The sequence below is a fragment of the Homo sapiens genome, chromosome 4, assembly GCF_000001405.40.
Source record: "Homo sapiens chromosome 4, GRCh38.p14 Primary Assembly".
In the NCBI taxonomy this organism is placed as follows: domain Eukaryota; kingdom Metazoa; phylum Chordata; class Mammalia; order Primates; family Hominidae; genus Homo; species Homo sapiens.
Window position 1 is genome coordinate 108,545,777 of NC_000004.12, and position 21,506 is coordinate 108,567,282.

A 21,506-nucleotide genomic window follows, 5' to 3' on the forward strand; every position below is an offset into this window, starting at 1 on the left:
TGTCCCTGTCACCTTTCCTGTCTCCTGCCTCGGGCATTTCTCTATTCATTTATTTAAGAGGTGTTTATTAAATAACGACTACGTGCCAGGCACTGTGCTAGGAGATGAGGATACAGTAGTGAAAAAGAAAATGGTCCCTAATCATGGAGTTTACAATTTCACAGGGGAGACAATGTGAAACAAATAATTCTAAATAATACAGCATACAAAACAGAAATACAGGTTACCTGCACACACAATTACAACCACTGTTTCCCCTAATCCTATTAATATTATAGTAGATGGTTTAAGAAGGAATTAATCTACAAGAGAATGACAGTAGTAGAGGGATAGAACAACACAATTTTGAAAACTAGGAAGTAGATGGAGGAACTAGAGTGCAATATTATAATAAGAAATATATACTTGATCTCTGCCTCATTTTCTATCACATAGCTCAGAAAACCCTCAGAATCTCTGAAGTAATATGTGCCTTTTTCTATGCCACTGAGGTGTCTAATGGCTGGAAGACGACAGAACAATACCTTCAATGTTCTGAAGAAAAAATCTAATAATCAAGAATTCTATATCCATCCAAACTATTAAATAAGTGATAAATAGAAGACATTTCAAGACATTCAAGGTCTCAAATTATTTCCTAAATGTTACAGTTTTATGTGGCTTCATGGAAAAGATCTCAAAACTTAGTGACTTGTAGCAACTATATCTTTTGATTCCAAGAATTTGGATGGAGCACAGAGGAGACAGATTGTCTCTATTTCTCAATGTCTATTATCTCAGATGGGTGAGTTGAACAGCTTGGGGGTTGCTGGGCATTTCTCTCTTTCCACATAGTCTTTCACAGGTTTAGTTTGGGCTTTCTCACAGGCCACAGTGTGGGTTCCAATGGGGATGCTCCATCACCGCCACTGCCATCACCCATATCACACCAGCTTCCAAGGGCCCAAGAACTTGCTCACATGCCCAGCAACCCCCCCTCCCCCGCCATTGGCATTACCAGCACCCTCCCAAGCCACCTAGAGGCAAGGATCAACCCTCCTGGACCCAATAACACCAGTGCCGGCACAAGCTGCCTTGAAGCCAAAGAACAGGCATGCTAAGCTCACCACTACCACCACTGAGACCTGGTGACTGGCCCATGGCATCCTACTCCCCAGCAAAACTTCATCACAGTCTCAAATAATAACCACATCATAAGCCACTGAGTAAATCACAGATACCACTGATACTGTTTATAGCCAAAGAAGTCATACAGAAATTACAATACTGCATGCTCCCAAAAGAAAAGCCAAAGTGCCCTACCCAACCAACAACGTTATATACACCTTCAGGAGAAAGTCCTTCCCTAAGAAAGCAATTTCAAAAAATTGGAAGAAGCAACAGTTACACCAGATACACAAATATCAACATAAAAAAGCAAGGAAATATGAAACCTCGCAAGGAACATAATTATTCTCCTGCAACATATCCCAATCAAAAAGAAATTTATAAGCTGGGCTCAGGGCTCATGCCTGTAATCCCAACACTTTGGGAGGCCAAGGCCAGTGGATCACTTGAGGCCAGAAGTTTGAGACCAGCCTGGCCAACATGGTGAAACCCCATCTCTACTAAAAATTTTTTTAAAATTGCTGGGCATGGTGGGAGGTGCCTGTAATCCCAGCTACTTGTTAGGCTGAGGCAGGAAGAATTGCTTGAGTCTGGGAGGTAGAGGTTGCAGTGAGCTGAGATCACACCACTGCACCCTGGCCTGGGCAACAGAATGACATCTCAAAAATAAATAAATTTATAAAATTCCAGATAAAGAATTCAAAATACTGATTTTAAAGAAGCTCTGTGAGATACAAGAGAATTCTTGAAGAAGTCAGATAAACAGTTCAGAATATGAATCAGAAATTTACTAAAGACATAGACATTTTTAAAAAGAACCAAACAGAAATTCTGGAAGTGAATAGTTCATTGAATGAAATACAAAATACATCTAAAAACTTCATCAACTGACTAGATTGAGCAGAAGAAAGAATATCAGAAATTGAACATGGGTCAGGGCCAAGAATATTAGATCCAGCAAAATTATCCTTTGTAAATGAAGAAGAATTAAAGTCTTTCCTAGACAAGCAAATGCTGAGGGAATTCATTACCACTAGACCAGCTCTACAAGAAATGCTCAAGGCCATCCTAAACCTGGAAGCAAAAGAATGTCATTTGCCATCATGAATACACATCAAACTGTAAATCTCACTGGTAAAGAAATCACACAGTGGAGGAAAGGACTCAAATGGTACCATGACAGAAACCCACCAAACCACAATGACAAACAATAACAGAAAAAAAAATTAACAAAGAATATATTGAAAATCAGAAAACAATTAGCAATGTGACAGGAACAAAACCTCACATAGCAATGTAAATGGATCAAATTATCCAATTGAAAGATACAGAATGGTTGAATTGATATTTTTTAAATGATTCAGCTATATGCTGCTTTTGAGGAATTCATCTCACTAGTAAAGACATATAGACTGAAAGCAAAGGGATGAAAAAAGACATTCCATGCAAATGGAAACCGAAAGTGAGTAGGAGCAGCTATATCCGATAAAACAGACTTTAAGTCAAGAACAGTTAAAAAAAAGAAAGGACAAAGATGATAATTATATGTTAGTGAAAGTCAATCCAGCAAGAGAATACAACAATTCTAAACATATATGCACCCAAGGCTGGAACACCCAGATTCATAAAGCAAATATTCCTATATCTAAAGAGAGAGATAGACTGTAGTACAGGAATAGTGGGGGATTTCCCAACACCCCACTCTCAGCATTACACAGCTTATCTAGACAGAAAATTGACACAAAAAATTGAACTTAAAGTAGGCTTTATTTAGTCATTTACAGAACATTCTATCCAACAACTGCCAAATACACATTCTGCTCATTAGCATATGGAACATGCTCCAAGACAGACTATATGTAAGGCCACAAAATAAGTCTCAGAAAATTTTTAAAAATCAAGTTCATATCAAGTATTTTCTCAGATCACAATAGAATAAAGCTAAAAATCAATATCATGAGAAACTCTCAAAACTAGACAAATACAAGGACATTAAACAACATGTTCTTGAACGACCATTGAGCCAATGAGGAAATCAAAACAGAAATCAAAAAATTTCTTGAAACAAATGAAACATAAATATCAAACATACCAAAACCTGTGGAATACAGCAAAAGCAGTGCTAAGTGAGAAGTTTATAGGACTAAATGCCTGCACCAAAAAGGTAGAAAAATTACAAAGGAGCATTCTAATAATGCACCTTGAGGAGTTAGAAAACCAAGAACAAATTAAATCAAAAATTAGCAGAAGAAAAGAAATAATAAAGATTGGAACAGAACTAAATGAAATAGAGACTTAAAAAAATACTAAAGATTAACAAAATGAAACGTTGGTTCTTCAAAAAAATAAACAATATTGATAAACCACTAGCTAGACTAACCAAGAAGAAAGAAGATCCAAACAAAAACAGAAATGAAAAAGGAAACATTACGACTGACATCACAGGAATACAAAAGATCATCAGAGACTACGATGAACAATTATACACTGACAAACTGGAAAACCTGTAAGATACAGATAAATTCCTGAAAACATACAACCTACCCAGATTCAATCATGAAGAAATAGAACACCTGAACAAACCAATAACAGGTAGTAAGATTGAATGAGTAAGACAACAACAACAAAAAGCCCAGGACCAGATAGATTTACAGCTGAATTCTACCAAATGTACAAAGCACTAATATCAATCTTCTTGAAGTTATTTCAAAATATCAGAGAGGAGGGAATTCTTCCTAACTCATCTATGAGGTCAGCATCACCCTAATATCAAAACTACAAGGAGACAACAAAAAAGAAAACTACAGGCCAATATCTCTGATAAACATAGACACAAAAATCCTCAACAAAATACTAGCAAACCAAATCCAACAGCACATCAAAAAGATAATACCCCAGGGCCTGGCAGAGTGTATTATCTTTTTGATGTGCTGTTGGATTTGCTATTGGATTATCACATCTGTAACCCCAGCACTTTCAGAGGCCAAGGCAAGGTGGTAGGATTACTTGAGCCCAGGAGTTCAAGACCAGTATGGGCAACATAGTGAGACCCCATCTCTACAAAAAATACAAAAATTAGTCAGGTGTGTTGGCATCCACCTGTAGTCCCAGCTATTCAGGAGGCTTACGTGGGAGGATTGCTGGAGCCCAGAAGGTTGAGGCTGTAATAAGCTAAGATCACACCACTGCACTCCAGCCTGGGCAACATAAGGAGATCCTGTCTCAAACAAACAAACAAATAAACAAAAAACAAAAAGATAATATACCATGATCACATGAGATTTATACCAGGGATATAACAATGGTTCAACATATGCAAGTCAATAAACATGATATATCATGTCAACAGAATGAAGGACAAAAACTACATAATCATCTCAATAGATGCAGAAAAATCACTTAATAAAATTCAACATGGCTGCATGATTAACAAAAAAAACTCTCAACAAACTATGTATAGAAGGAACATACCACAAAATAAGAAAGGCCATATACAACAAACCCACAACTAGCAGCATACTGAATGTGGAAAAGTTGAAGGCCTTTCCTCTAAGAACTAGAACACGACAAGTATGCTCACTTTCACCACTCCTGTTCAACACAGTGCTGGAAGTCCTAACCAGAGCAATCAGACAAGTGAAAAAAATAAACAGCATCCAAAATGGAAAAGAGGAAGTTAAATTGTCCCTCTTTGCTATTGATATGATATACCTAGAAAAAACTAGACTACACACACACACACACACATGCACACGCGTGCACACACACACACAACTCTTAGATTTGATTAATGAATTCAGTAAAGCTGCAGGATGCAAAATCAATGCCCAAAAATCAGTGGTATTTCTATACATCAATAATGATCTAGCCAAGAAAGAAATCAAGAAGGCATTCCAATTTACAATAGCTACAAAAACAAAGAAAGAAATAAAAACCTAGGAATATATTTAACCAAAGAGGTGAAAGATCTCTACAAGGAAAACTACAAAACACTGATGAAAGAAATTGAAGATAATACAAACAAATGGAAAAACATCTCAAGCTCATGAATCAGAATTAAAATTGTTAAAATGACCATATGGACCAAAGCAATCTACAGATTCAATGCAATTTTAATGATAACATCCCATCATTTTTCACAGAACTAGAAAAAACAGTCCTAAAATGCATGTGGAATCAAAAAAGAACCCAAGAGCCAAAGCAATCCTGAGCAAAATGAACAAAGCTGGAAGCATCACATTGCCTGACTTCAAAATATACCACAAGGCTATAATACCCCAAACAGCATCATACTGGTATAAAAATAGGCATATAGACCAATGGAACAGAACAGGGAACCTAAAAATAAGGCCACACACTTACAGTCAACTGATGTTTGACAAAGACACCAAGAACTCATATTGGAGAAAGGACAATCTCTTAAATAAATGGTGCTGGAAAAATAGGATAGCCACATTCCAGAAGAAGGAAACTGGACCCCTATTTCTCACCACATACCAAAATCAACTTGAAGTTGATTAAAGACTTAAACACAAGCTCTAAAACTATAAAAATACTAGAAGAAAACCTAGGGAAAACTCTTCTGGGCATTGGTCTAGGCGAAGAATGTATGACTGAGACCTCAAAAGCATAGATAACAGAAATAAAAATAGACACACGGGACTTAATTAAACAAAAAAAGCTTCTGCACAAAAAAGAAATAATTAACAAAGTGAAGAGACACCCTGTTGATTTGGAGAAAACATTTGCAAACTTCATCCAACAGGGGACTAATATCCAGAATATACAAGGAACTCAAACAACTCAACAGGAATAAAAGGCAACAAATAATTCCATTAAAAAGTGGGAGAGGCTGGGCGCAGTGGCTCATGCCTGCAATCGCAGCACTTTGGGAGGCCAAGGCAGGCAGATCACGAGGTCAAGAGATAGAGACCATCCTGGCCAACATGCTGAAACCCCATCTACTAAAAATACAAAAACTAGCTGGGTGTGGTGGTGCGCCTGTAGTCCCAACTACTCGGGAGGCTGAGGCAGGATAATTGCTTGAACCCGAGAGGCGGAGGTTGCCGTGAGCCAAGATCTCACCACTGCACTCCAGCCTGGTGACAGAGCGAGACTCAGTCTCAAAAAAAAAAAGTGGGGGAAAGCACATGAATAGATATTTCTCAAAAGACAACCTACAAATGGCCAACAGGTATATGAAAAAATGCTCAAATGCTCAACATCACTAATCCATCAGAGAAATGCAAATCAAAACCACAATGAGACATCATCTCACCCCAGTCAGAACGGCTATTATTAAAAAGACAAAAAAAAAATGGATGTTGGTGAGGATGTGGAGAAAAAGGAAGTTGTATACTCTGTTGCTGGGAATGTAAACTGGTGCAGCCACTATGAAAAACAGTATGGAGATTTCTCAAAAAACTAAAAACAGAATTCAATCCAGCAGCCCCACTACCAAGTATCTATCCAAAAGAAACCAATAGATCAAAGGGATACAAAGCATTTGCATTTTTATTGCAGCACTATTCACAATAGCAAATACATGAAACAAACTTAAATACCCATCAATGGATGAATAGGTAGAGAAAATGTGGTAAATATACACAGTGGAATACCATTTGGCCATAAAAAAAGAATGAAATCATGTCATTTGCAGCAACATGAATGATCATTATATTAAGTGAAGTAAGCCAGGCATAAAAAGATAAATATTGTATGTACTTACTTACATGTGGAAGCTAAAAAATTTGATCACCTAGAGGTAGAGTGGAAAGAGATAATGGAGATTGGGAAAGGTGACTGGGGGAAGGAGAAAGAATGAAAAGAAATAGGTTAAAGAGTACAAACATGCAATTAGATAGAAGAGATAAATGCAATGTTTGATAGCAGAGTAGGGTGACTATAGTTAACAAAAAATGTGTTGTACTCAGGTGATGGACATCCTAAATACCCCAACTTGATCACTGTGCATTACATACATGTAACAAAATTTCACATGTATCCCAAAAATTTGTTTAAAAAAATTAAAAAGAAGAAGACAGCGGAACTAAATAGGGGAATCCTACATAAGAGAAAGGCAAAAAGAATCCCCAAAATGCAATGTGAAAGAGATATCAGGATTACAACTGTGAAGCCGCTCTAAGAACAGAGATCAAGGAATAGATAGATGTCTATGATTTTTAAAATAATAATAACCTTGCTTAAATAATTAATGTGTCAGAACATAGTGAGAAGAGAAGATTTATACTGTGGGGGATCGGGGGAGAATTAATGATAATTTAAAAATGAAAAAGAGGTGCATAGAATCAACACATTGAAGAGAAATTTTGCACTAGACACTTGTTAAAAATGGCAAGGAAGACTTTACTCAAGACTATTGCAATAGAGGAGAGAGATTGAACTCAATTCTAAATACAACAGGGATAACAACCTAAGTGACAAGAGTGAGACCCTACCTCAAAAATCAATCAATAAATAAATACAACAGGGATAAGTGGGAATATATATTCAAGGGGCATGATGAGGGAGTCATTGGATAGAAACATACTAAAGAGGGACTTGGTTAGGTATCAACAACATTGGGGGAGAAGAACTTGATTAGACATCAAGGGTAGGGAGGAGAGCTTGATTAGATATCAAAGGTGGTGGGATTCTCTATAAACTGGCTAAGCAGTATCCAAAGCTAAAACTAGACTTGGCAAGCCAAAGATTGGGCCAAAGAGAAAGTCTAGTCAAAGGAGGGCTCAGAGGAGCCTGACTACATTTGCTCAATAAGGGAGTCTTTGTCAAATGAACTATTTCCTTCCCTTCCTTTCTTTCCTTCCTTCCTTCCCCACTTCTTTCTTTTGTTCATCCTTTCTTTCTTTTGTTCTTTCTTTCTTGTCTGTCATCCAGGCTGGAGTGCAGTGGTGCCATCATAGCTCACCGTAACCTTAAACTCCTAGGCTTAAGAGATCTTCCCACCTCAGCCTCCTGAGGAGGTGGGATTACAGGTGCATGCTGCTATGCCTGGCTAATTTTTTTTTTTATTTCTGTTATTTTTGGAGATGAGATCTCAGTATGTTGCCCAGGCTGGTCTTGAACTCCTGTCCTCAAGTGTTCCTCCCACCTTGGCCTCCCTAAGTGTTGGGATTACAAGTATTACATGCCACAAGGCATGACTATCTTTTAAAAACAAATGCAAACTGTTTGCTTTGTTATTTTTAATACATTTTTACAGATTATTTCTGTAAACCAAAAATAAAATTCTATGACCCCCGCAACCATTTGAATGGACTCCCTCCTCTTGGCCAGGGCACTCCTAAGATAACCTGAAAGACTGGTTCAGGCCATGACGGGAATGGCGGATTGGACATGCCTCATTATGCCGTCCTCCCTTTTGGAATTCAGGAAAAGCTGACCAGCATTTAACATCAACACAAACCCTAAGTCTGATAAGAAACATTTGCAATGTATTCTCTTTGAAACTTGCTACCTGGAGGCTTCGACTGCATGATAAAACCTTGGACTGCACAACCACTTATCACAACCCAGACTTTGTTTTCTACTGATAAAAACTCTTTCAATCAATTGGCAATCAGAAAATTTTTAAATCTACCTATGACCTGGAAGTCCCCACTTCAAGTTGTCCTGCCTTTTTAGATTGAACCGCTGTAAATCTTACATCTATTGATTGATGTATTATTATGTCCCCCTAAAATGTATAAAAGCAAGCTGTACCCTGCCACCTTGGGCACATGTTGTCAGGACCTCCTGAGGCTGTGTCTCGGGTGTGTCCTTAGCCTCGGCAAAGTAAACTTTCTAAATTGATCAAGACCTGTCTCAGATACTTTTGGGTTCACATTTCACACACAGAAATTGTGAGAACAAATTTTTATGGAGGCCTAGAAGAAAGCACTATAAACTTTGCAAAATAAGTGCAGGAGAGGCAGGTGATAGTGATACAGCATTTCCCCCAATAATTACCCCCCCAAAAATGGCTGGTGCACTGAAGAAAACTTTAATTCCCCTACAGTTTTAACTAGGCTCAGCCATGAACATGGGGAAGGCTGGCATTTGTGCAATGACACTGGGGTTCTCCACTACATGTCTGGTCATCCTATCAGTACCTTAAACCTGCCCACAACCAGTTCCTAAAAAGGAAAAGCAGTGTTCTTTTGCCAGCAAAATTGGGGTTTAGTTGAAAGTAAAAGGATGTATTTGAAAAGTTATATCTGCCTTTAAAGAATAAAAGGATCTATCTTTGCACCTGATAACAAATTAACAAAATCTCAAATGGATAAAGCTTGTGTGATGAGACCAAATCACACAAAGTGAAGAAGTCGAATTTTGTTTAATTTAAATGATAGAGAATAGACATGCGCTGAGTTACATTTTCCTTAAAAAATCACCCTGAATGCTATGTAGAGGATGGGTTGTAAGGGGGCAAACATAGAAGCATGGAGACCAGTTAGATAGTTACTGCAGCCAATTATTTGGACTAAGAGAGTAAAGATAGAGAATAAAAGAGATAATCAGATTTGAGATTGATTTTGGAGGGTGAGCTGACTAGATTTGCTGATGGATGGACACAGGGGTGACAGAAAGGAAGGAATCAAGAATGACTTCTAGGTTTTTAGCTTGAACAACTAAGTAGATATGTCATTTACTGAAATGATAAAGACAAGAACAGATTTGAGAGAGGAATCAAGAATTCTGGTTTCAAATGATTATTAGCTATCAAATTTCATATTAAGGAGGAGGTTGGATATGTAAGTTTGGATCTTAGTGGGGCTAGTGAAATACATTTGGAAATTGTCATAATTCTGGTGGTTATGAGATTGCCTAGAATGAGGATAAAGACAGAAAACAAACAGAGAAACCAAAATCAAGCCTATAGAGTACTCAAAAATTTAGGAGTTGAGCAAAGAAAGAAAACCCAAAGGAGTGAAACAAAAGCCAATGGTATGGGAAAAAATCCAAAGAACATGGTCTCAGGGAAGCCAAGGGTGTTTTAAGAGTGGAAGAGTGGTTAACCACATGCCAATTGGTCAGTAAGATGAAATCATAAAGAATGTTAACCATCGTTTTTGACTAGCTGGAGTCACTATAAATCTTGGTGAAAATGAAAACTATAGTAAGGTTAAGTAAGATTAAGAAGGAATGGAATGTGAGGAGTTAGAATAGGATGTAAAGAAATTGTAGAGATAGTATAAGGAGCCAGGGTTCTTTTTGAAAAAAAGCATCTAATAACTCCCATTCTTTTTTAGAGAGAAAGAGAGAGAGAGCACACAGGAAGGAGGCTAAACTTGCTTGCATAAGCGTCCCACTCTCTCAATAACCTTAATCCATTCATAAGGACGGAGCCCTTGTGATCTAATCACCTCTTAAAGGTCCCACCTGTCAACACTGTTGTATTGAGTATTAAGTTTCCAGCACATAAACTTCGGAGGACACATTCAAACCATTGCAGGGAGTTATATGCACTTCCTCATGAGACTGTCAGTATATCAGAAAAGCTGTGTGAACAGCTTGTGACAGCTGCCCCAATGGCTGTTCCATAGGCTCTGGACAGGCGAGTGAGAGACGATGCAGGGTTTGGGTATTCTCTCTTTCTTTCTTCTCTTGAAGGGAGGGATAGGGAAATGAGACTTAACCCCAAAATCCACAGTGGTCTTACACTTTACCAAGACACAGGGTACAAAATTCCCCCTGGGAATGACAAATATCAAAAACCAGGATCAAAAGTCCTCAGTAAGAAAGGAAGAAAACATTTGGCCCCACCCTCAAAGGGCAAGAGTGCTGAGGGAAAGCAGGACTCTCATTCTGAGTGACTTGAGCACCAAAAGTTTTATGTCTGGTCTTGAGACATCAACGGGCCCTTGGTGGAGAGGAAAAAAAACACCGTGGTGTTATTCAACAGTACCTCCAGACCAGTCCCTGGGGAAATTGTTCCAAGTTCCTCAAACAGTGGAGCCAGTAAAATTGAAAGAGTAAGACTACCTCTTGGGGGCCTAAAATATCTGTGGCCACTATGCGAAAATATCAGGTCAGACCACCCAAGATTTCCAGAGTGGTATTCATTTTCATTGATGGCTTCTTCAACCAGGAGCAGGCCACAGGCTAGAGTGGTAGCGATGGAGAGCAGAGAGGTGGTTCCCAGAGCAGCAGTCATGAGAGGAGACGGGCCAGTGAGCAGCCTGAAAGCAGAACACACAACAACAGCAGGAAAGCTACAACAGCTGCAGAGGACCATGTGGAAAGGGAGATGCCTCAATGGTTTAGAATTCTATATTAAAAACAGTGGTGGTTTGGAAGAAGCCCCAAGATAACTGCTACCAAACCTGTGAAATATAATTTAGGTGCCTCAAACATGCCTCTGTGACCTGAGGCTCTTCCTGCTGCCTGGAACGTTCCTCTTGGGCTGAAGTGAGACCAACTTCTTATTCTTCAGGTACGAGCTAAAATGTATCTCAGCGTGGAGGCCATCCCTATTTAAAGATCTCCCTGTGATAGTCTAACGCAGCCCTGTTTTTCCTTGAGAGTACTGCATTTCGCTGATTCTGATATATACTTTTTTTTCATATTTTAACATATCTGAAGTTGGAATGAATCTTATAATCAATACTGTGTCATAGTTTAATTGGCCACAGTTTTTCTAAGTGATTTTTTTAAATGGTGCATTTTATAACCTGTGCCATTTCTATTCAAGAAAATAGAGTTTTCATCATATTCAGTGAGTGTTGTTTGTATGTTTACTGTTTGTTTGTCTACTCTATAAAACTGTAGGCTTCTTTAAAGCAAGCACTAGCATGTAGTACAATGCCTGGTGCATCATATGTATTCAATAATGATTAATCAAATGACTGAATTCATTAATTTTATGTATTTATTTTAATTTTTTTTGAGACAGGGTCCTACTATGTTGCCCAGGCTGGTCTTGAACTCCTAGGCTCAAGTGATCCTCCTGCCTCGGCCTCCCAAAAAGTGGTGGGATTATAGGCATGAGCCATGGAGCTCGGCCTGAATTCATTAACCTTAGGGTTGTACAGCTCTCAGCTGAAGAACACTGTACACAATACTGTGTATAATCAGGTGACTTAAGATTTTTGGACAAAATTGAATATATAGTCTCTCTGTCAGATTCACATGTACCCAATATCTTATCTCAAAGTACTGGTGTTTTTGTTTTTTGGATTTTTTTTTTTTTGAATCTCACTCTGTTGCCCAAGCTGGAGTGCAGTGGTGCAATCTTGGCTCACTGCAACCTCTGCCTTCTGGGTTCAAGCAATTCTCCTGCCTCAGCCTCCCGAGTAGCTGGGACCACAGGTGCACATCACCACGTCCAGCTAATTTTTTTGTATTTTTAGTAGAGATGAGGGTTTCACCATGTTGGCCAGACTGGTCTCGAACTCCTGACCTCAAGTGATCTGCCCGCCTCAGCCTCCCAAAGTGCTGGGATTACAGGTATGAGCCACCACACCCAGCCTCAAGGTACTGGTTTTAAGCAGAAATTTCCAAACAAGTAGATACCTTAAAACAAAGAACACATATCTGTCTAAGCAGAAAAAATTTTTTGTATTAGAGATTTCTCAGAAAATCACTTTTAAAGGGGAGATAATAATAGAAAGTATTTATGCAGCATCTCTCAGTGTAATGCCCCGGTGCTTTGACAAGTACACTATTTTTGAACATGGAAAAAAACTCATTGTCATACATTATGACCAGTTTCTCCTGCTTAATACTATAGTTAAGTCTAATCCTATGTTTATAACCTCTTAATCTACTTCCGTGGAGGAAATAGATTTCACCTTATCTATTCACTTGATACTAACTCAAATAAGTAGAAAAACCAGGGGATTTAATCTTGGCTAAAATAATTTAGCAATTAGCAAATATTTCAAGGAACGCCAGTTAGAAACATAGGAAACATAAATGGATTTCAATGCATGGTTGATCTTTTTGAAAATTTTCCTCTGAATGAACGTCCTTCTTTAACACTGATGCAAGGCTCTGGATAAATCTTATTATTATTAAAGTCCCCAGTAGTGAGAATTTAAATCAAATTTATGCAAAATGAGAAAAATGGGTCACTTCTGCCACTGCCTTATTCTTGGAATTTTTTTTTAGCAAAATAGAGCTGAGAATAAAAATCATCTCAATTTTACACTACACCATATCTCCCTTGTAACATTCAGATAATGATTCTGAAGCTATTTGGTATGATGGATGAAGAAATGCATTCTGAGCTTGGGCAAATCACGCAGGACCTCTGTTTCTGCTTTTGCAAGTCTGACTTGTCAAGGGCCCCTCCCATCTCCTCAGAGAAAGCTTCCAGACATCCCTGGTCAGAATCGGAGTCTCCTTCCTCTTCTGGACCCACTTAACATGTAGTTTCTACTTCTTGTGTAACAATTATGCAGTGAACCCTGTAGTGCAAATGAGTGTGTGTGCATTTGTCTACCTCGGAAGGGTGTGAACTCCTGGAGTGTCAGGACTGTTTTCATTCATCCTTGGGTCTTGCACATGGAAGATGACTCATATTTTGCCATATCAAATTGAATTGCTTTAAAAGATTAGCTTTGGCTTATTCAGTTTATGCTCCCTAAGGTTATGTTTTTATGTACTAGTATTGCAGATTAGGAAAAAAAAAAAAACCCAGCTCATCTCAAACCCTCGTGGGTCTTTTTGTGTGACATAGAATGAGAGCTGAGCTGAGCCCAACCTCGGTTAAGAGAGTGCCTCCAGCAGTTCAGACCCAGTTCATGTCCTGAGATAAGACTGGGAGGGGCTTCCCTGGGCCCTGGGAAGAGAGGGGTTCCTACGAGATGAGAAAAGTATTCCCTTAGGTTCTCAGAGAAAATGGCAATGCTCTATGTGGACTATGCACCCATTAGAGACCCAATGCTCTATGTGGACTATGCAGCCGTTAGAGCCATTAGAGACTCTATGTGGACTCTGCAGTATTAGAGCCATTGGAGACCCGTATTTATGCAATCTAATCCTGGGTCAAATACTCATTTTCCAGGTGATGATGGACAAGTCCCTTAAGCCTTCTGATCAGCAGCTTCTTGAACTCTAAAATGGGAAATCTAATATTAATGATATCCTACAACATGGACTGTTGTGAAAACTAATAAAGACAAAGCCTTCTCAAGCACTATGAAGCATTCAGTGCTAAGTACAATGAAAATAATGTGGCCAGAGGCCTCGGGCCTGTGCCAGATGGAACCAGCTTTGGCCACTCTTTCCCATACTGCTGCTCCCAGCTGACAGAGGTTTGGCTGAAGATTCTGCAAGGACCCGTGCATCAGTATTCCCACAAGGAGCTGCAGGGCACACACAAGTGTGTGCTGAGAAAGCCCCCAAGAAAGATGGAACCCACGTGGGGGCATTGCTAATGCTGTCCCAGAAAACAAGCCCAGGGATTTTCCCAGCTCTATACATTGCTTTGTGTTTATCAGTGCTTTGACCAGCAGCTATTCATTTGTGATATGAAACTCTTAAAATAAAATCTTTTTTATTTTAGCAAGTTTTATTGAGGGAACCTGGCTGCAGGCAGGATTTCAGTCTTATATCTGCATAAAGCCTAAATTGTTGGCATGTTGAAATATTTCCTTAGAAAAACCAAGGTGTTTGATGTTGCTTAGCCACACCAATTGACTGGACTTCTCACTTCCTAACCAGTTGCCTTGGTGTTGCTTAGATGAAGCCCAGATTAATTTTTTTCTCGGTCACTTCTTATAAAATCTGAAATCTGAAAGTTCAGCCCTAACCACCTCACAAAATGGTCAGTCTTGTTCTTGACCTCATTAACAAAGGACTGTCCTTCCAACTCACACCAATCTGGGGGAGGAAATAAACCAGACAGCCCGAATGACGACAGAGTGGGATGAAATAACCCCTCCCTGGGACAATGCCTTTTCCTGTTTCTGGAGGCTCCTCCTATTCCCACACTGGCTTCTGCATCCGTTACTTGGCCAGGATCCTCTTTCACATCAAAGTGTCCCTCCTTGGGCTTCAGAAGTAGGGGCATAACCTTAGTTTCTACAGGAAGGCATTTTCATCCCAAAGGAAAGGGAAAAACCATGTGTTTGGTTGCTATACAATTACAAGCCACTTTCCTTGTTTTTCATTTTACAGTCGTGCACATGAAAAGTATAGGCAGGCTTTTAGCTACGATGGGCCAAACATTTGGTTCCTAGACTTCTATAGTTTGAGCTGGAAACATTAAAATAATTAAACTGCAGCCATTAGTCTTCATGAATAATATTAAATGCCTGAGTCAGGAAAAGTTTTAGGAGAGGATACGATTTTCTTTTTTACTTCAAAAACACATGAAAGGGCATAATCTGGACAGATATTTAAGGAAGAGAGGTTGAAGAATGCCATGCATTCCATCTCAGACTAGGCTATGGGGACTCTACGTGGGAGGTCTGGATTTAAATCCAGTTTTGAATGACTGAATGTAATCGGTGATGGTAGGGCACTACAGCTTTCCCAAAGCTGTCAATTTGTGTCATTATCAAAAGCACTTATTTGGTACCTAATATGTCTATGCATGGCAGATGTTTAAATAGGAATGTCCCTGCCTTTCTGGGGCCTCTGATCTAAAATGGTGCAGATACTCTTGGAAATGGGGTAAATAGCAGAACCTTGGGTGGGAGAGAGCATGTCCAGTAGTATTTTTTTAGTGTGTAATTAGGGTGGGAGAGACTAGAAAGTTTTAACTGGTGGAGAATACAATTCATCATCACTGGAAGGCGACCCTGTAGAAGAGTATCACATTTGGGGTGTGGGAGCTGTTGATCAAAAGATAGCATAATTTTCAGCCAGGCGTGTTGGCTCATGCCTGGAATCCCAGCATTTTGGGAGGCTGAGGCAGGTGGATCACTTGAGGTCAGGAGTTTGAGACCAGCCTGGCCAACATGGTGAAACCCTGTTTCTTTTTTCCTTTTATTTTATTTATTTATTGTTTTGGAGACAGAGTCTTGCTCTGTTGCCCCGGCTGGAGTGCAGTGGCATGATCTCGGCTCACCGTGACCTCTGCCTCCTGAGTTCAAGCGATCCTCCTGCCTCAGCCTCCCCAGTAGCTGGAATTACAGGTGTGTGCCACCACAATAGGCTAATTTTTGCATTTTTGGTAGAGACAAAGTTTTCCCATGTTGTCCAGGCTGGTCTTGAACTCCTGAGCTCAGCCAATCTGCCCACCTTGGCCTCCCAAAGTGCTAGGATTAAAGGCGTGAGCCACCTCACCCGGCCTGAAATCCCATTTCTACTAAAAATACAAAAGTTAGGTGGGCATGGTGGTGCATGCCTGTAATCCCAGCTACTGGGGAGGCTGAGGCAGGAGAATTGCTTGAACCTGGGAAGCAGAGGTTGCAGTGAGCCAAGATCATGCCACTGCATTCCACCCTGGGCCTCAGAGCAAGACTCTCTCTCAAAAAAAACAAAACAAAAAAAAAAAGCATAAGTTTCAAAAACTGAAGAAATACTGTTCTAAAAGTATTCATTCATCATTTGCTCATTCAGAATTTACTGACTGCTTCCTGGATGCCCCAATGTGTAGCTGGCACTATAAAAGGTATAAAACAAGTAGACTCATCCAGACATTGACAAAGTCATGTACACTCAGGAGCCCATAATGGCACAACATTGAAGCAATGAGGTAGAAGTGAATTATCCCAATCCACACCAACAGAATTGTTATATGAATCTCAATCACTTTGGGATAGATGAGGATATAGACTTAGAAACAGAAAAGCACAATATCTAACTGACCCTAAGTAACCTCAAAGCAAGCATCCTTAGTGTTCTTTTATCCTTCATATGCTCACACTGAGGTAGAAAAATTAAGCTTTGTGGACACAGGAAGGGGAACATCACACACCAGGGCCTGTTGTGGGGTGGGGGGAGGCAGGAGGAATAGCATTAGGAGATATACCTAATGTAAATGATGAGTTAATGGGTGCAGCACACCAACATGGCACATGTATACATATGTAACAAACCTGCACGTTCTGCACATGTACCCTAGAACTTAAAGTATAATAAAAATAATAATAATTAAAAAAAGAAAAATTAAGCTTTGTGTGGCTGAATTATAAATTTCCCTTAACAATTAAGAAAATGGCCAGACGCGGTGGCTCACGCCTGTAATCCCCGCACTTTGGGAGGCCAAGGTGAGTGGATCACGAGGTCAGGAGTTCCAGACCAGCCTGGACAAGATGGTGAAACCCTGTCTCTACTGAAAATACAAAAATTAGCTGGGCGTGGTGGTGGGTGCCTGCAATCCCAGCTACTCGGGAGGCTGAGGCAGGAGAATCGCTTGAACTCGGGAGGCGGAGGTTGCAGTGAGCCAAGATCACACCACTGCACTCCAGCTTGGGCGACAGAGCAAAACTCTGTCTCAAAAAAAAAAAAAAAAAAAAAAAAAAAACACAGTTAAGAAAATGTTTCTTTACCAGAAGTGAATACTGTAGGTTTTACTCTTGGGTTAGGGAAAAGGAACATTGGAAGTGAATCAGATCTTCCATTAGGGCCATGTAATCATACTGTTATTACAATGAAAAACAAAAAGGAAGAGAAAAGAGAGGAAAAAGAGAGCAAGATAGAAAAGATTGGATTCCAGTCTGCTAAAGCTGTCTTGTCTCTGACTGAGAAACCTGTTTGGTAACCTGAATGACACCGATTCCTACACCTACAGACAAGCGAGAGGAAATGAAACAGCATTGGTGAAGCATTCCTTTTTGTTGTTTGCTTGTTTGTTTGTTTGTTTGTGTTTTGAGATGAAGTGTCACTCTGTAGCCCAGGCTGGAGTGCAATGGCGTGATCTCAGCTCACTGAAACCTCCGCCTCCCTGGTTCAAGTGATTCTCCTGCCTCAGCCTCCCAAGTAATTAGAATTACAGGTGTGTGCCATCTCACCTAGCTGGTTTTTTTTTTTTTTTTTTGTATTTTTAGTAGAGATAGGGTTTCACCATGTTAGCCAGGCTGGTCTCAAACTCCTGACCTCAAGTGATCCACCCACCTCGGCCTCCCAAAGTGCTGGGATTACAGGCATAAGCCACCGCGCCCAATGGTGAAGCATTCCTTATGCCCTATGTGCTTTAATACCATTATCTTATTTGATCCTGACAATAGCTTTCCAGGAAGGTGTTAACAACTCTCATTTTATAGATGAGGAAACTGAAGTTGAACGAGTTTAAGTAACTTGCCTAAACTCATACAGCTAGTAAGTAGCAGAGCCGGGAGTTAAATCCAGGGCTGTCTGACGTCAGAGCTCATGAATTTTCTCCTACTTACACTCCTTTCATTTGATGCTCAAAGCTCCAGAGAAAAATGTATGTATATAAGGCCCTGGTTGAGTGGAGGACAAATATTCCCTCTAAAATCTCTACCTGTTCAACCTCCCCAGGAATACATCAGACTACTCTTCAAATATAGTCTTCCCATGTCCCTGACCCACCTAAATTGTTCACTCTTTCTTTAATATTATTATAATGGAACTCATGGTTTATATTTGAAATGAATTGTATATTGTTGTTTGAAGTGCATATGAAAGGCAATGCTATGTAAAGCCTAACAAGTGATTATTAAAACTTTATATACCTGTATACTTACGTGTATATAAAATATTGCAAAATAAAATAATATTTAAAGAGATGTGCATTTATTTTTGTCATTTTGATGCAAAACTAGCTGTATTCTGACTATTTATAAAGTTATTTCCTTACATGTTTTCTATTTTTTTTCCATCCTGTCATTCTTATTCCCCGGGTAATCTCTATATATCTAAGGAAGAGGAAGCAAGAAGTTGTTGCACCTGTGTTTACTAATTATAGTGTTAGTGCTTTGTATATAATGTTTGTACTTTGTTAGAATGCTGATTATCTCTCAAGCAGCTAACCCTACTTAGACCTGACAACGATTTAAATTCAAATATCTTCACAGCAGGCAATTTTATTAATGTTTTACATGGCACACCAAAGAAGTGAGCTGATTTGGGTGTGTTTGGTTTGGGCTTTATTTTTTCTTTCCATTTTTGGAAGAATATTGTGCTTTAGAAAAGTATGTTCAGTTGGCCTATACCATTGGAAAACTTTATTGAATTGTTCAACCCATATGCCACAAGCCTGAACCTAGGAGACACCAGCTCCAAGAAAAAGCAGTGTGTTCTATCTCTGTGACTGATTTCATTTTTGGATTCTCTTTTGAGTCTGCCAATAAGTTCCAGGTGGGATGTGTTGGTTTTTGAGATGCAAGTTACCTGTTCACTGGGAGCAGAGGAAGACCTCTTGTTTGGGGCTCCCACAACTGACAGATGGCAGTGACTTTGGTCACTGATGATGTCTGGATTCAACTCAGCTTAGAAGAGAAACCATAATACCTTGTAAGAATTTCCTTTGCTCCACCCAGTCATTCTAGTAAAGAAAAGAAGACTTGAAAAGCTAAGACTCCAATGCCACACGTGCCACATTAACATCTAGACGAGGGCTTGAGGGAATCTCCCTGGAAACCGAAAAAGAAAAGAAAAAAACTGTCTAGGTCATGGGTAGCCAATCTTTTAGCTTCCCTAGGCCACACTGGAAGAAGAAGATTGTCTTGGGCCACACATAAAACACACTAATACTAATGATAGCTGGTGAGCTTAAAAAAATAAAAATAAAAATAAAAAAACTCTTGATGTTTTAGGAAAGTTTGCAAATTTCTGTTGGGTGGCATTCGAAGCCATCCTGGGCCACGTGTGGGCCATGGGCTATGGGTTGGACAGGCTTGCTCGAGGTAATTGTGCTCCCTAACTAGGCAGGACAGCAAGCCTCCCTCCACAAGGAGACCACAGTTGAATGGGGGTGGAGTGAGGTGGAGCTTTTCGTTTGTGAGTATAGTCAGCAATGGAATGGCTGGTGGGTTATACAAATTAAAATTGATTTGCATTCATCTAAAAAAATTAGTAAATACAAGATGCCTATTATATACACAAATGTATTGCAGAAAGACTATAAATGCATGATAAAATGTTAACATACAAAACTTTTTTAATGGAAAAATGTTTGGAAAAGGGTTTCTGAATTCTAGGTTTAGCTTCTTGGGAAAAAAATAATTTGAGTTATCCTGAAGTATCGTATCTGGCCGGATGCAGTGGCTCATGCCTGTAATCCCAATACTTTGGGAGGCCGAGGCAGGCAGATCACCTGAGGTCAGGAGTTAGAGACCAGCCTGGCCAACATGGTGAAACCCCATCTCTACTAAAAATACAAAAATTAGCCAAGTGTGGTGGTGGGCGCCTGTAATCCTAGCTACTCGGGAGGCTGAGGCACTAGAATCACTTGAATCCGGGAAGCAGAGGTTGCAGTGAGCTGAGATTATAACACTGCACTCCAGACTGGGCAACAGAGTGAGACTTCATCTCAAAAAAAATATATATCATGTCTGATCAGTGTACCATGGCCGATGTGAAGGCCAGCTCAGACCAGCCAGAGTGCAACAGAACATTTAAAATTTGTCCTGAAGTTCTTCAATAAAAAAGGAACATAAGGACACCTTTATGTCCTTTAGTGCTCTTTTTCAGAATTCCTTGTCTTCTGTTTGGAAAATAACTTTCATGCTAATATAGTGGAATTAACCAATTCCATAGGCTTTGGAGTCTTAAAGACCCAGATTCAAATACAATTTTGACCTTTGGTAAATGACTTAACATCTCTAAGCCACAGTTTCCTCACAGGTGGAATAGGGTACTTATTTTACAGACTTGTGAGAATTAAGTTAGATTATACATAAATAGCATTTAACACAATTGCTGTCAGATGGTAAGCACTCAGTAATTGTCAGATAGGAATATAATCACAGCTACCCCCTTTTATATTTGTACTGCTTCCACCGTTTTGTACTGAGTCCACCGTTCATATTACTAACATTCTAGCTGCTGATGTGTGGGTTTCCTGGGCAACACAGTAGATCACTTAGGAACATGAATTCAAAAGTCCCACTGCCTGGGCTCAATTCCTGTCTCCCCTATTTATTGGCCCTTTGACCTAGGGTAATTGATTATACTTCACCTCTCTGATTCAGTCTGTCCTTTAAAATAGGAGTGATAATGCCTAGTTCCTAAAGTTACTGTGAGCACCAAATGAGTTAATTCATTAAAGTACTTAAAACAATACCCAGCTGTAGGAAACTCTCAGTAACTATTAGACATTTTTTTTCCCGAGACGGAGTCTCGCTCTGTTGCCCAGGCTGGAGTGCATTGGCAGGGTCTCGGCTCACTGCAACCTCCGCCTCCCAGGTTCAAGCAATTCTCCTACCTCAGCCTCCCAAGTAGCTGGGATTACAGGCATGCGCCACCATGCCCAGCTAATTTTTGTATTTTTAGAAGAGACGGGGTTTCACCATGTTGGCCAGGTTGGTCTTGAACTCCTG

The 21,506-nt window shown here is 39.6% G+C and overlaps 2 long non-coding RNA genes across 2 annotated transcripts in view; one reads left to right on the top strand and one right to left on the bottom strand.

The window, feature by feature from the left end:
• RPL34-DT (RPL34 divergent transcript) overlaps positions 1 to 21,506 on the bottom strand; it is an 82,268-nt gene that overhangs the window by 7,587 nt on the left and 53,175 nt on the right. Inside the window, exon 2 of the long non-coding RNA NR_026968.1 lies at positions 10,489 to 11,288. This is a non-coding gene — a long non-coding RNA (RPL34 divergent transcript). The remainder of the gene's footprint in view (positions 1 to 10,488; positions 11,289 to 21,506) is intronic.
• On the top strand, positions 11,457 to 14,616 carry LOC101929621 (uncharacterized). The gene is made up of 2 exons (NR_134679.1): positions 11,457 to 11,542; positions 14,117 to 14,616. It is a non-coding gene; the product is annotated as an uncharacterized LOC101929621 (long non-coding RNA).